The sequence below is a fragment of the Homo sapiens genome, chromosome X (genome assembly GCF_000001405.40).
Source record: "Homo sapiens chromosome X, GRCh38.p14 Primary Assembly".
Taxonomy (NCBI): domain Eukaryota; kingdom Metazoa; phylum Chordata; class Mammalia; order Primates; family Hominidae; genus Homo; species Homo sapiens.
In genome coordinates this window covers 97371938-97384566 of record NC_000023.11, presented here as the reverse complement: position 1 = coordinate 97384566, position 12629 = coordinate 97371938, and the positions used below count along the sequence as shown (strand labels likewise).

At 37.1% G+C, this 12629-nt stretch overlaps 1 protein-coding gene across 2 annotated transcripts in view; it reads right to left on the bottom strand.

Annotated features, from left to right (window-relative positions):
- Positions 1 to 12629, bottom strand: part of DIAPH2 (diaphanous related formin 2) — a 920156-nt gene that overhangs the window by 220431 nt on the left and 687096 nt on the right. For both annotated transcript variants that reach the window (NM_006729.5, NM_007309.4), the window contains exon 25: positions 523 to 658. In NM_006729.5, the coding sequence (NP_006720.1) occupies positions 523 to 658 (136 nt within the window). The remainder of the gene's footprint in view (positions 1 to 522; positions 659 to 12629) is intronic.

Below are 12629 nucleotides of genomic sequence, written 5' to 3'. Positions count from 1 at the left end.
ACTATATGGACATGCCAGCATCTTGTACTTAGGTTTATAGCTGTGCAAGATGCCTTTCCCTATTTTATTCAACTTGTAATAGTGCTGTCAATATTTCTTAGGACTTAAAATGTTCAAGCTTCCAAGGAAGACTGTTAACTGTTACTGCACTGCCAACAGACATGTGCCAACAAAATGAAGTTAAAAGCTAAGGCTTATCTCCCCATACCCGTTTTTCACATTTCATCTCACCCACTTTTTCCCTCCCCACTGCCTCATCCAGAATATAATATACTATGGCAAGAAAAGTAGGGAGAAAAACACTATCTCAACAAAATATCATCTTGCATTGGTTATCAAAAATCCTGAATGCTCAGCGTAGGGAGATAGGAAACCACACATAGCATCATGAGAGAAATTTAGCACAAGTAACTAATACTATTGTGAATTTTCTATGAAAATTTACTTTATAATCCAAAAATAAATAACTGCAATTATTTTGTACTTCTTGCATTTTTGTAAAAATTGGAAATATTTTCATACCTTTGTTTATATCAATGAGTTGTTTCTTTTTCTTCTGGCGTTCTAACTTTTCTTGTTCAGCTTTCTCTTTTGCAAGTTTTGCCCTCCTGGTCTTCTCTTCCATTTCTCTTCTCTTATTGTTTTCTCTCACTGCTTCCTATACATATAAACAAAGTTAAATGGAAACCTTTCCATTACTTATATAATAGAGACATTGCACAGTTTTGAATTTTCTCTCACTGCTTCCTATACATATAAACAAAGTTAAACAAAAACCTTTCCATTACTTATATAATGGAGAAATTGCACAGTTTTAAATTTATATAAATATGCAGAGATGGGAAGGTATTACAGCAGCCTGAATGTGCATATATATACTTTTGAGAGAGACAATTAATTGTAAAATATCTCTTCTTGAAAAAAGATTTAGAAATAACTCAGTCTTCAATTGCCATTATCTAGGGTGCCAGAAAATTAAGGACATCAATGTTACAGATTTAACAATAAGTATACTTTATGTATTGTTAAAATATGAACTAGTTTGACACATGAGAAGACATAGTAAGGAAATATGACTCAGCAAGTATTTTATCCCCTTTATTGTGTACTTTTCTGTTATCTGCAAAATTGAGATTAAGAAAAAAACTACCTTATAGGAGTTTTGTGAGGAAAAATGATACAAACATAAAGTGCTTAGAATAGATCCTGATATATTATAATCAAGGAATTTTAGTCTATGATGGCGATGATGGTGGTCCTGGTGCTGGTGATAATGATTACATCTAATCATGCAGGGCAGGAAACAATCAACAGTATTATCACAGAAAAGAAATACCTTCAAATATGACAGCTTTTTACTTGTGAAAATATTTAGAAATGCTGAAACATATTTCAAGCTATTGTCTGTTTTATTTTGGATAGATTATTTGTGGAACATAAGTGAATGAGTACATTCCAGTAGTTGGTATTAGACAAAGCTGAATTAATGTGATCAGCTGGAATATCAACTTCCTTTGAGTTCAGGTAAATCACGAATGCAGAGACATATCAACTACAAGTTCCCTCCATCAAGCTGCTCTGTTTCTTTTTTCTATTATGATTGATTAAATATACTTCATAGCATGTACAAGCTGTTTGACAAAAACTATTTTGTTCCAGAAACCCTAAAGAAAAAGACTCAATAACGAGAATACGTCTACAAGGCTTTGCCTGGAGGGGTTTATATTGAAATAATTTTTTTCTTTATGTTAAAAGACACAGCAGTTTAAAATAGCCTTAAAAACACTTTCAAAATTCTCCTGACTTGCAAGAATTGATTTCTTCCTACAAAATCTAAATGATTTTACCTTCACTGGTACCTCCCCTTTCTCCTGTCATTGTTTTTGTGCTCTTAGACTCCATAGCAATAGGCTAGGAGCACAAAGGTACCTGGCTATTGTAGATGAACTCAAAGACTACCACTTAAAAATAAACTGGCATACTAGAATCATAATTTTAAAGCAGGGTTTCTCAACCTCAGCACGACTGTCACTTTGGGCTAGATTATTCTTTGGTAGGAGCTGTCCTATGCGTTGTGGGATGTTTAGCAGCATCCCTGGCCTCTACCTGCCAGATGCCAGTATGATCCCACTCCAGTGGTGACAACTGGGGTTTCACCATGTTGGTTAGGCTGGTCTCGAACTCCTGACCTCAAGTGATAAGCCCGGCTTGGCCTCCCAGTGTGCTGGGATTACAGGCGTGAGCCACCGCACCCGGCCAAACCACTGAATTATATAAACTACAATGGTAAATTTTATGGTATGTAAATTATCTCAATAAAAATTAATCACATTAATAAATAGATGTCTAAGAAAGACAGGATGGAAGTAAAATTGTAACTCAAAAGGGAAAAAACAATGTGAAAAGGCATCACATATTCAGGCCCTGATACTAATAAGCTATATAATGTTTGGTAAGTAACATGAAAAGAGGCAAGTAGCAGAGGAAAGAAAGAAGGCTAATGCTTGTATATATTTTATTAGTGGTCAAATCTCTAATTTGGTAAACAGTCACCAAGATCTGGGTGGACTATTATATTATCAATCTAATGGGTTGTTTACATGCTGAGTGCTCCCATTAGGATTCCTCACATAGTTTATTAAGATGGAGGGAAAAAAAACGGCTGGTTACTTGCATTTGTATTTCTTCTTTGTTCTGATAATAACAGCTACTCTTTAAGGGAAATCTATTATGTACCAGGAGTTTTAAACATTATCTAGTCTTAAATACATACTTTATAATCTTTATAGAAAACCTGCAAAGTAGGTATTATTTGTTCCATTTTATACATGAAATTTAGGTTCAGGTAGGCTAAGTGACATACCCAAAGCTACACAGCTTCTTAAGTAACACAACCACCTAGGACTGTTTGGCATTAGCCTCTATGTTCATTTTCACTACTATGATGCCTTCCAAATAGAGTTGCCAGATAAAATACAGGCTTCTCAGTTAAATTTACATTTCAGATAAACTGTGAATACTTTTGTTAGTAGAAGTATGTCTCATATAATATTTGGAACATACTTAAATAGAAAAAAAATCATGTAATATTTAGGATATATTGATACTAAAAAATTATTCATTATCTGAAATTCAGCTTCAACTGGGAATCCTATATTTTCATTTCATAAACCTGGCAGTCCGATTCCCAAGACTGTGTTGATTTTTTATAAGCATCCTTTGATCGACTAAGATCATCTAATAAAGACAGTAGAAATGATTACAAAAAGAAACGCCCAAATCAAAACCACATTTTGAAAATAGAAATGTTGATACAGATTATTGATAGGCATTATATTGTACATGAACTTGAATCATGCTATTTCTGTAGCATTCTCCATGTATTTATTATTTCTGGAAAATATGCTAAAACTAAAAAAAAAGTTCATATAAAAATCAAAGTGATACAATTTGCGATAGAAGAAAATAAGGCTAGAGATTAAATTTTTATATGAGAGGGAAGCTTGCAAAAGGCACCACTAAAACAACATGAATGTAGATCTACTAAAGGATAAAACAGAACAAGTAATAGGTCTATCAGTTTATATCTGAAATGTTTCAGGAATAGATTTAACTACAAAACAATCACAATTTGTAATGGCAATGTGTAATCTTTAAGAGGCCAAAACAGAATTAAAAAAACCATTTCTGTGGTTTGGCATTATTGACAGTAAATGAAAACATCTACAAAGGCATATATTTTTCAAGCAACACAGACTAGAATAAGATTCTGGTCACTAGTGCTGTTTTCATGAAAAGGCCTCATGCTGAAAAGAATAACATATTCCTCTTGGTGTTTTTACTTGGCTCTGGCTTTAGGAAATTAGGGATAGAAAATGCATGCTTAGAGAAAGGGAAATCTTAAAGACAGTTTCATATCAATAATCTTTAGTTTTTAAGACATTGTTTAACCCTTCTAAAAATGTAAAAGCTGGTGAAGAAAAAAATTATTTTGAGGGATGGGATGTATTCTCATCATCCTAATTCTTACAAAATAAAAATCAAATAATCAAAAGAACAAAAGCAGTAGGAGCAAATTTAAGGTCAGGTTAAGAAAATCCCCTAAATAATTGACTGATTAACATTACTTTGTACTTGTCAAGCCTCACTAAACATTTTAAAACACTAACTCATGAGTACTTAAAGATCATTCTCAAGTAAGCATTAATCATTATTTCTCAGGGTTGGAAATGCCAACTGATTAGATTCTGTCATTGTACAGGACAGTGTTCTGTTAAAAGGATGCTAATTGAAAAAGTGTTTTGGTACTAACCTCATACAAGATAAGAAATATGTTTACAGAAAAAAGTCTCAGTTTTACTGGCATATCTGTTAAGGGTTGGTAAAAGGTACAAAATGAGTAAAATATAATGAAAAATGTATCTAGGATTTACTACGAAATATTCACCAACCTAATTTTTAAAATCTCTCACTGAAACCTCTATTGCCTTACTGAAAAAAAAAGTGAATAAATTACAAATCTTATTTCCCTTGCTATGCATAATCACTAAATAAGACCTACAGACTAAAAATGTCATATGCTAAAAAAAAAAAGAAAGAAATTCACGTAAATGCTAAGACCTCTCATTTATTTCAATTAAGCTTTAAGAAATGGATGAAACTGATTCAGAAAATTCCAAGGAGCCCAGATGCCAGCCTCATTCAGGTCAGGTCTACACGAAGCAAGCATCTTCCAACCTTGCCTTGATATTTGAAAACATAAACCACCACTACCACCACCACCACCATTACAGCAAACAATTCCTTACTTTCATGGCTTCTAATGGCTTCCTATTCCAGAGATGACTGACTGCTCAAGTACTTTACAAGCACCATGAGATCACTGAAAGCTGAAGGCATATTTCAGGGACAGAGAAATAAAACCATTGGTAGTAAGGATCCTGGAATCAGAAAAATCTGGTTTCAAATCAAAGCTCCATCACTTATCCTAAAAACTGTGTGACCTTGAACAAGTTAGTTCATCTCTTTGAGCTTTAGTTTCCACATCTGCAGAATCAAGATACTACTTAAATCACAGGACTGTTGAACAGATTAAGTGAAATAATGCTTATATAAAACACTTAAGACAAAGCCTGGTACAGAGGAAATGCTTATTATATAGTAGCTGTGATTATTATGTATAACAGAATCATTTAAAAGTTTGAACAGCAAGAATTCAGTCATTGACAGACAAATGACCACATCTGTTTTCAATGACTTATTTTGCAAACCCCCTTCCTCCCTTTTTGGGGAAGTTATGAGGACATAATCTATGACTGGAAATATACCAACCTGATACTATCTACCCTCATAACTATACTGAATATGATTTTCAACTGTACCATAATATTGGCATCTAAGGTAATTCTACGATTCCATATATATCACTGTAACTTGGCACTCATGAAAAGAAAAAAAAATACTAGGAATGTATTCATTTTCTCTTTTGAGTTTTGGATCATTCTGGTTACCCGCGTGAATATAGTTGGCAAGACTTTCAGTTCATTACAGTATCAGAAGTTGTATGATAGTAGAGTCACATAACCATAAAATTACGTAAATTAGAAATGTCATGGTGAACAAATTGGTAACTCTGGTGCCAGAGGAATACTGTGATCACACTGAGGAGTATTTCTTCGTTGATCAGGGGTGTTGGAAGGATTTGAAAATGATACTGAGAGAAATGATTTGGCAACAATATAAAGAAACGTGGTGTGTATTATATTGCAAATCTTTTTATACACTAAATATGAGTCACTGAGATAGTAGTTTTAATGAAAACTCAACAAAATAGGGGAAATTCCACAATTTTTTTTAGAGTCAGGGTCTCCCTCTGTCACCCAGACTGCGGTGCAGTGGTACAATTTCAGCTTACTGCAACCTCAAATTCCTAGGCTCAAGAGATCCTCCTGCTTCAACCTTTCAAGTAGCTGGGACTACAGGTGTGAGCTGCCATGCCTGGCAAAGTTTCTTTCTTTTCTTTCTTTTTTCTTTCCTTTCCTTTCTTTCCTTCCTTTCTACAGATGGAGCCCAGCTATGTTGCCCAGGCTGGTCTTGAAGTCAAGTGATCCTCCTGCCTCGGCCTCCCAAAGTGCTGAGATTACAGGCTTGCACCACCAAGCCCAGCTAATTTTTTTTTTTTTTTGAGACGGAGTCTCACTCTGTCGCCCAGGCTGGAGTGCAGTGGCGCGATCTCAGCTCACTGCAAGCTCCGCCTCCTGGGTTCAAGCGATTCTCCCACCTCAGCCTCTCGAGTAGCTGGGATTACAGGCATGTGACACCATGCCCAAATAATTTTTGTATTTTTTGTAGAGACGGGGTCTCACCATGTTGGCCAGGCTGGTCTCAAACTCCTGACCTCAAGTGATCCGCCCGCCTTGGCCTCCTAAAGTGCTGGGATTGTAGGTGTGTGCTGCTGTGCCCAGCCAAGCCCAGCTAATTTTTAAATATTTTTCACATTTTTAATCTTGAACTCTCTGAGCAACTGATTCTTTCTTTGCTTTAATTCAGACTGTGCTTTTAGATTTTTTTTTTTAAGTTTTCTGGGTTTTTTTTTGCTAGACACTGAAGAATTTTTAAATTGTTTCTTTCAGTCGCCTCTTTTAAAAATAAAACACTTAAAATTTTTATTAAATAACCCCTGACCAGAATACCATCCATTTCCATATTTCCTAGATAAGTATAATTCTAATTTTATGCATCTTGATAAGATTTTTTTTAAATGTCTTACCTGTAATTTTATGGCCAGAGTAAAAATAATAGGAAATTGTCCTCTTTATATGGATCATTTTAAGTCGGGATCCATAATCCAAACTTTCTAAGTAAAACAGCATATCATAATGAACACAGGATGGCCTTGAAGGGCTGGGAGATCTAGTTTAAATCCAAGCTCCTCTAGAGACCATAGTGCTTTATGCCCTTGGGCCATTTACTTAACTGAGCTAACCCTCTTTTCTGAATCTGTGAAATATAGTCATGCATCTCATAATGACATGTAGTACAACAGATGGGACCACATATATGAAGGCAGTCCCATAAGATTATAACAGAACTGATAAATTCCTTTTACCTAGTGAGGAAACGGCCACCATAATGTCAGAGCACAACACATTACTCATGTACTTATTATGGTGATGCTGGTATAAACAAACCTACTGCATTACCAGTCCTATAAAAGTATAGTGCATACAATGATGTACAATACACAGTACTTGATACTGATAATAAGTGACTATGTTACTGGTTTACGTATTTGCTATACCATACTTTCTACCATTTAGAGTGTACACCTACTTATAACAAGTTAACTGTAAAATGGCCTCGGGCAGGTCCTTCAAGTCCTCCAGAAGAAGGCATTGTTATCACACAAGATGACAACTCCATGTGTGTTATTGCCCCTGAAGATTTCCAGTGGGGTAACACATGGAGATGGAAGACAGTGATACTGATGATCCTGACCCTGTGTAGTCCTAGGCTAATGTGTGTGCTTGTGTCTGAGGACAGCAACTTCCAATCTTCTAAGGTGCATTCATGCTAAGTGCCCTAATACAGGTGTACCATTTTTATTTTTAATATAGTATTTTTATTGTTCCTCTTCTGTTTAGATGTTTAGATACACAAATACTTACCAATGTGTTACATACTGTATTCTGTACAGTAACATGCCGTACAGGTTTGTAGTCGACGAACAACAGGCTTACGTATACCGTATAGTCTAAATGTATAGTAGGCCATAGCATCTAGGTTTGTATAAGTACACTCTGTCATGTTCATACAACAATGAAATCACCTAACAATGCATTTTTCAGACTGTATCCCTGTCATTAAGCAACACATGATTGTACCTGTACTTCACAGTGTTGGTTTGCGATTTAATGAGGAATCACATATAAAGCTATTAATAACAGTGCCTGGCACATAAAACATGTTCAATAAATGGTGGTGGTTATTATTATATTATTCCACATTTGGGCAATACAAAGGTCCCATGCATTTCAGGGTCTGTACTCCATTTCCTCCAATCCAGGACCATGTCCACATATGTGCGTGCACACTGGGGAGAAAGAAGAATTCTTTTTGATATGAAAATCTTGCAACATCAGGTAAAAATTTGAAGAAACAAAACACCCACACACTCTCTAAGCCACCAACTTTGAACAGATAATAGGACTCGTCTTTCTGTGCCAAGAGAAAAAAGATAGAGGTAAAATAAACAGGAGGTTTTGGGGGAAAATTCTTGGTGTTAGGATATCATATTTGACAAATCTAAGAAATAATAAAGGTCATAGAATAATTTGCTATTTTGACTAACAAATTCATGCATCATTTTACTCAAGTTTCAACATGCCTTACAGGACTGTAGCAAAAACTGAGTGATGAAGGTTCCTGGGGAAAGGTAGTAAATTTGGAGGGGAATTACTGTTTTTTTTTTTTTTAAACATCTCTAGTTCTGTCACCTCACTCAGAAAATAAAGCACACAGTACAATAAAAGTCCAATTGCTTTGGAAAATAGGAGTTTAATTTTACTTCTTTAGGGAACATTTGTCTTAGAATGAGGGATTCACTTAGTCTGCCTTAATGTTTACGGAAGGACCAGGAGAATTAGCCCACACTTGGTTCCCTACCCCAGGCCTTGCTAAGCTTTCTGATACTTTTCCCATCTTTACTGATAGGAGGCTGTTAGCTGTGCTGGAATATCACTACTGAGGGATTGCAAGTAGGAGATAGGATGAAAGGTGGAAACTTTTTGCTTATTGGTGGGGTTCTCATTTCATTCCAGTCATAACAGGAGGCAAAATAGGTAGCAATGGACAGGTTGTCCAGACCAGTGAACTAGGTAAGGTTATAGCAGCAGTTTCCTTTCCCTGTCCCAAAGATGTCCTAAACATGACAATGAAACAGGAAAGGCAATTCTATATGCAATAACTTTTCATCATTTTACCAAAAAGTTTTTTCTTTTTAAAAATTCTTCTTCCCTTTTCCTCTACTTCATATAGTTAACATATTCTGTGCTTGAATTGTTTTGGCTACTACTGACAGTTTTTTTTGTTTGTTTGTTTTTGTTTTTTTTGAGATGGAGTTGTGCTCTTGTCGCCCTGGCTGGAGTGCAATGGCACGATCTTGGCTCACTGCAACCTCCGCCTCCCAGGTTCAAGCAACTCTCCTGCCTCAGCCTCCCGAGTAGCTGGGATTACAGGTGCCCACCACGACGCCCAGGTAATTTTTGTATTTTTAGTAGAGACGGGGTTTCACCATGTTGGTCAGGCTGGTCTCAAACTGCTGATCTCAGGTGATCCACCCGCCTCAACCTCCCAAAGTGCTAGGATTACAGGCATGAGCTAACACACCTGGCCTATACTATTGACACTTTTGTTGCACTTGCCTGGAACCAAGGAGAAAAGAGGTGATAGGAAACACAGATCCCAATGTATGTTACCTCTACCTGATTTGTAGCTTGGGCTGAGGTCCTTATTTGTTATTATAGTAAAGGTGGGTGAAAATCTTAAAGAATATCAAAAGTAAATCAGGACTCATATAGTTGTACAGGTCTTTTTCACTCCCATTTGAGAATGATCACATCAGGTTACAAGTAGGAAGATACAGTGTGAGTCAAGATGAGTTTTTCAGCATCTGAACAAGAAATTGAACAACCTGATCATTAGAGAAAAAACCTACATAAGATGGTGGAAATGAGTCTTTAGAATTTTCAGCTGCAACTGAAGACAAATTAAGGCTTTCCATTAAGGAAAGGAAGGAAGCCTACTCCTTAATTAACACCCAACAACATTAGATATTCCTTTTCTATAGTTTCACTGTGTTTAAAGGGCATATTGGATTGAAGGAGTCATGACAAATGCTCAGGGCAAAGAATTTTCAGCTGCAGTAACTAGACTCTGAGAGTCAGTACCTCTGAAGACTTTATCAGCACTATAATACTGCTAAACTTTTTCTTTCCCAGCGATTTCCACTTATTATGGTACAAGTGACCTTTAAAGTTCCTCTTATGAAAGATCTTATAAATACTTCATCAACCAATCAACTACGATTGCAACAGAGAAGTAGAACTTCTTTCTCACTGGGGTAATTGAAACCTTGATTAGCTTGCTCAAGTAGTTAGGTGCCTCAGTAACAGACACTGAACAAATGTATTGATACTGTAGTTAGACAGGGATTAAAGGCATGCTTATTAACCTGTGTAAATATGGTATGAAACACAGAAGTATAACAGACCATAGGTAATCTGCTAAACCAAACAAAATAGAAATTTTCTTCCCTCTTTGATTCCTGAGGTACTATGTTCATTTCTTCCTACAGACAGCATTGCATTCCCTCCATATCCATTCTAGACTATACTTCCCTGTCCCACCCTTTAATTTTCACCTTCCCCTGAAGCCCTGTCCTCATCTCTTCCCTTCTTTTTTTTCTGGCAGTGAGGCCATCTATTCCTACTCATAGTTGAAAAAAAAATAGTGCTTCCAATAGCATATAAAGCCTTATGTGATCTGACCTCCTGTTACCTCTCTCTGTCCTCATCTCTTCCTCAGCTATTCTCTTCCAGCCCCACTGGTCTCCCTCGCTCCTCATCTTTACACTTGCGTTCCTTCTGCTCTTAAGTACCTCCCTCAGGCCGGGCACAGTGGCTCACGCCTGTAATTCTAGCACTTTGGGAGGCCGAGGCAGGCGGATCACCTGAGGTCAGGGGTTTGAAACCTGACCAACATGGAGAAACCCCGTCTCTACTAAAAATACAAAATTAGCCAGGCATGGTGGTGCATGCCTGTAATCCCAGCTGTTCGGGAGGCTGAGGCAGGAGAATCGCTTGAACCTGGGAGGCGGAGGTTGCAGTGAGCCGAGTCGCGCCATTGCACTCCAGCCTGGGCAACAAGAGCGAAACTCCGTCTCAAAAAAAAAAAAAAAAAAAAAGTATCTCCCTTAAGTCTCTGCTTGAATGTCTGTCTTATGAGTGAAGCCTTCCCTGACCACCTTAAAAAATAACCCCCTAACAAACTTCCTCTTTCTTCCTTGTTGTAGTCTTCATAACATAAAAGGTCAAAATCTAGTTAAACTTTAGATACTCTTTCCATTTTCTAAGAATTAGCAGCTGGAGCTAGTTGATTTACATAATAATAGTTTTCAGCCTGGGAGTTTTCAAAACATTAAATTACCGAGAACGTCTCTACACATAGTTCCCTACGCACCTCATATTTCTTTATTGTAGAAAATCTTAGCAGCCTTGAAGAAAACATCCACTTTCGAATGGTAAGTTTCTTTCTAATCATCTATAGGTTATGGTTCACTGACATCTACATTTATTTTCTTAAAAATGCCAGTGCTTAGCGTTTCAGAGGCCCGATATCCATGACATTTGTCACACTGACATAGCTCAATATTCCGCTGAGGAAATTCACTTGTGTAGAGATTAGTGTTTACATTGAGTCTCCAAAGTTAAAAGAAGTGTTCTAATTTTGAAAATGAGGCATTTGTTTTGAATGAGATACTTGCAGGATCCACAAACAGTGTTACACGGCTTTTCTTTCTTTTTTTTTTTTGAGACGGAGTTTCGCTCTTGTTGCCCAGGCTGGAGTGCAATGGCACAATCTCAGCTAACTGCAACCTCTGCCTCCTGGGTTCAAGTGATTCTCCTGCCTCAGCCTCCTGAGTAGCTGGGACTACAGGCGTGCGACACCACGCCCAGCTAATTTTTTTTGTATTTTTTTTAGTAGAGACAGGGTTTCTCCATGTTGGTCAGACTGGTCTCGAACTCCCCATCTCAGGTGATCCGCCTGCCTTGCCCTCCCAAAGTGCTGGGATTACAGGCCTGAGCCACCACGCCCTGCTTTACACAGCTTTTCTAGTAATCTTTTGGTTTCAGACAAAACCTTCTCAGGTTCAGGTGGATGGTTTATACAAAAAGTCCTTGAGTTTAGTTGTATAAGTGACTCCCTTTTGGCAGAGGGGAGAATCATAGGAGAAACTGCTGTGCTGCAGGTGAGGGAGCCAGCTGAAGTGAATTCAAGTATGTGTTCACTGAAGTAGCCCTCTTGTATTCAGCAAAACCAGCTTATTGTTCAGCCTCCTTAGGAAACAAATAAAAAATTAATGTAGCTTTCACATGCGCTACATATCTGTAGGTTTGACAGACAAACAGATCTTTGCACACCAGCATGGTGGTGAAGAGAATCTCAAAGGTGAATTATTAAAAACAAGAAGAAAGAAAAAAGACTGTTATGTGCAAATCTCCTTGGATATTAAACTTACAGTTGGTTACAAAGCGGTCATGCACCGATAATGAAGGCTGGCTGTGATCCCCAAGGCCTTTTAAAATTTGCCTTACAACTGCAGAAACATGTGATCTGAAGTTGGGGGAAAAACTGTCTCTCCCGTCACAGTCCATTAGAATGCTGAACTCTGATTAGCTAGAAGTTAATCTGCAATCTGCAGCAAAGAATAGGTTTTCTAATGCTGCAGGTTTCTGCAGACATATTTTTCTTAGTAGGTATTTGAGAATATTTATCTCCATCTGGAAGGGATAAACAACTGAGCTCAACATGCCAATGTAGACCTCTGTTGATTAAAATCTACGAAGTGC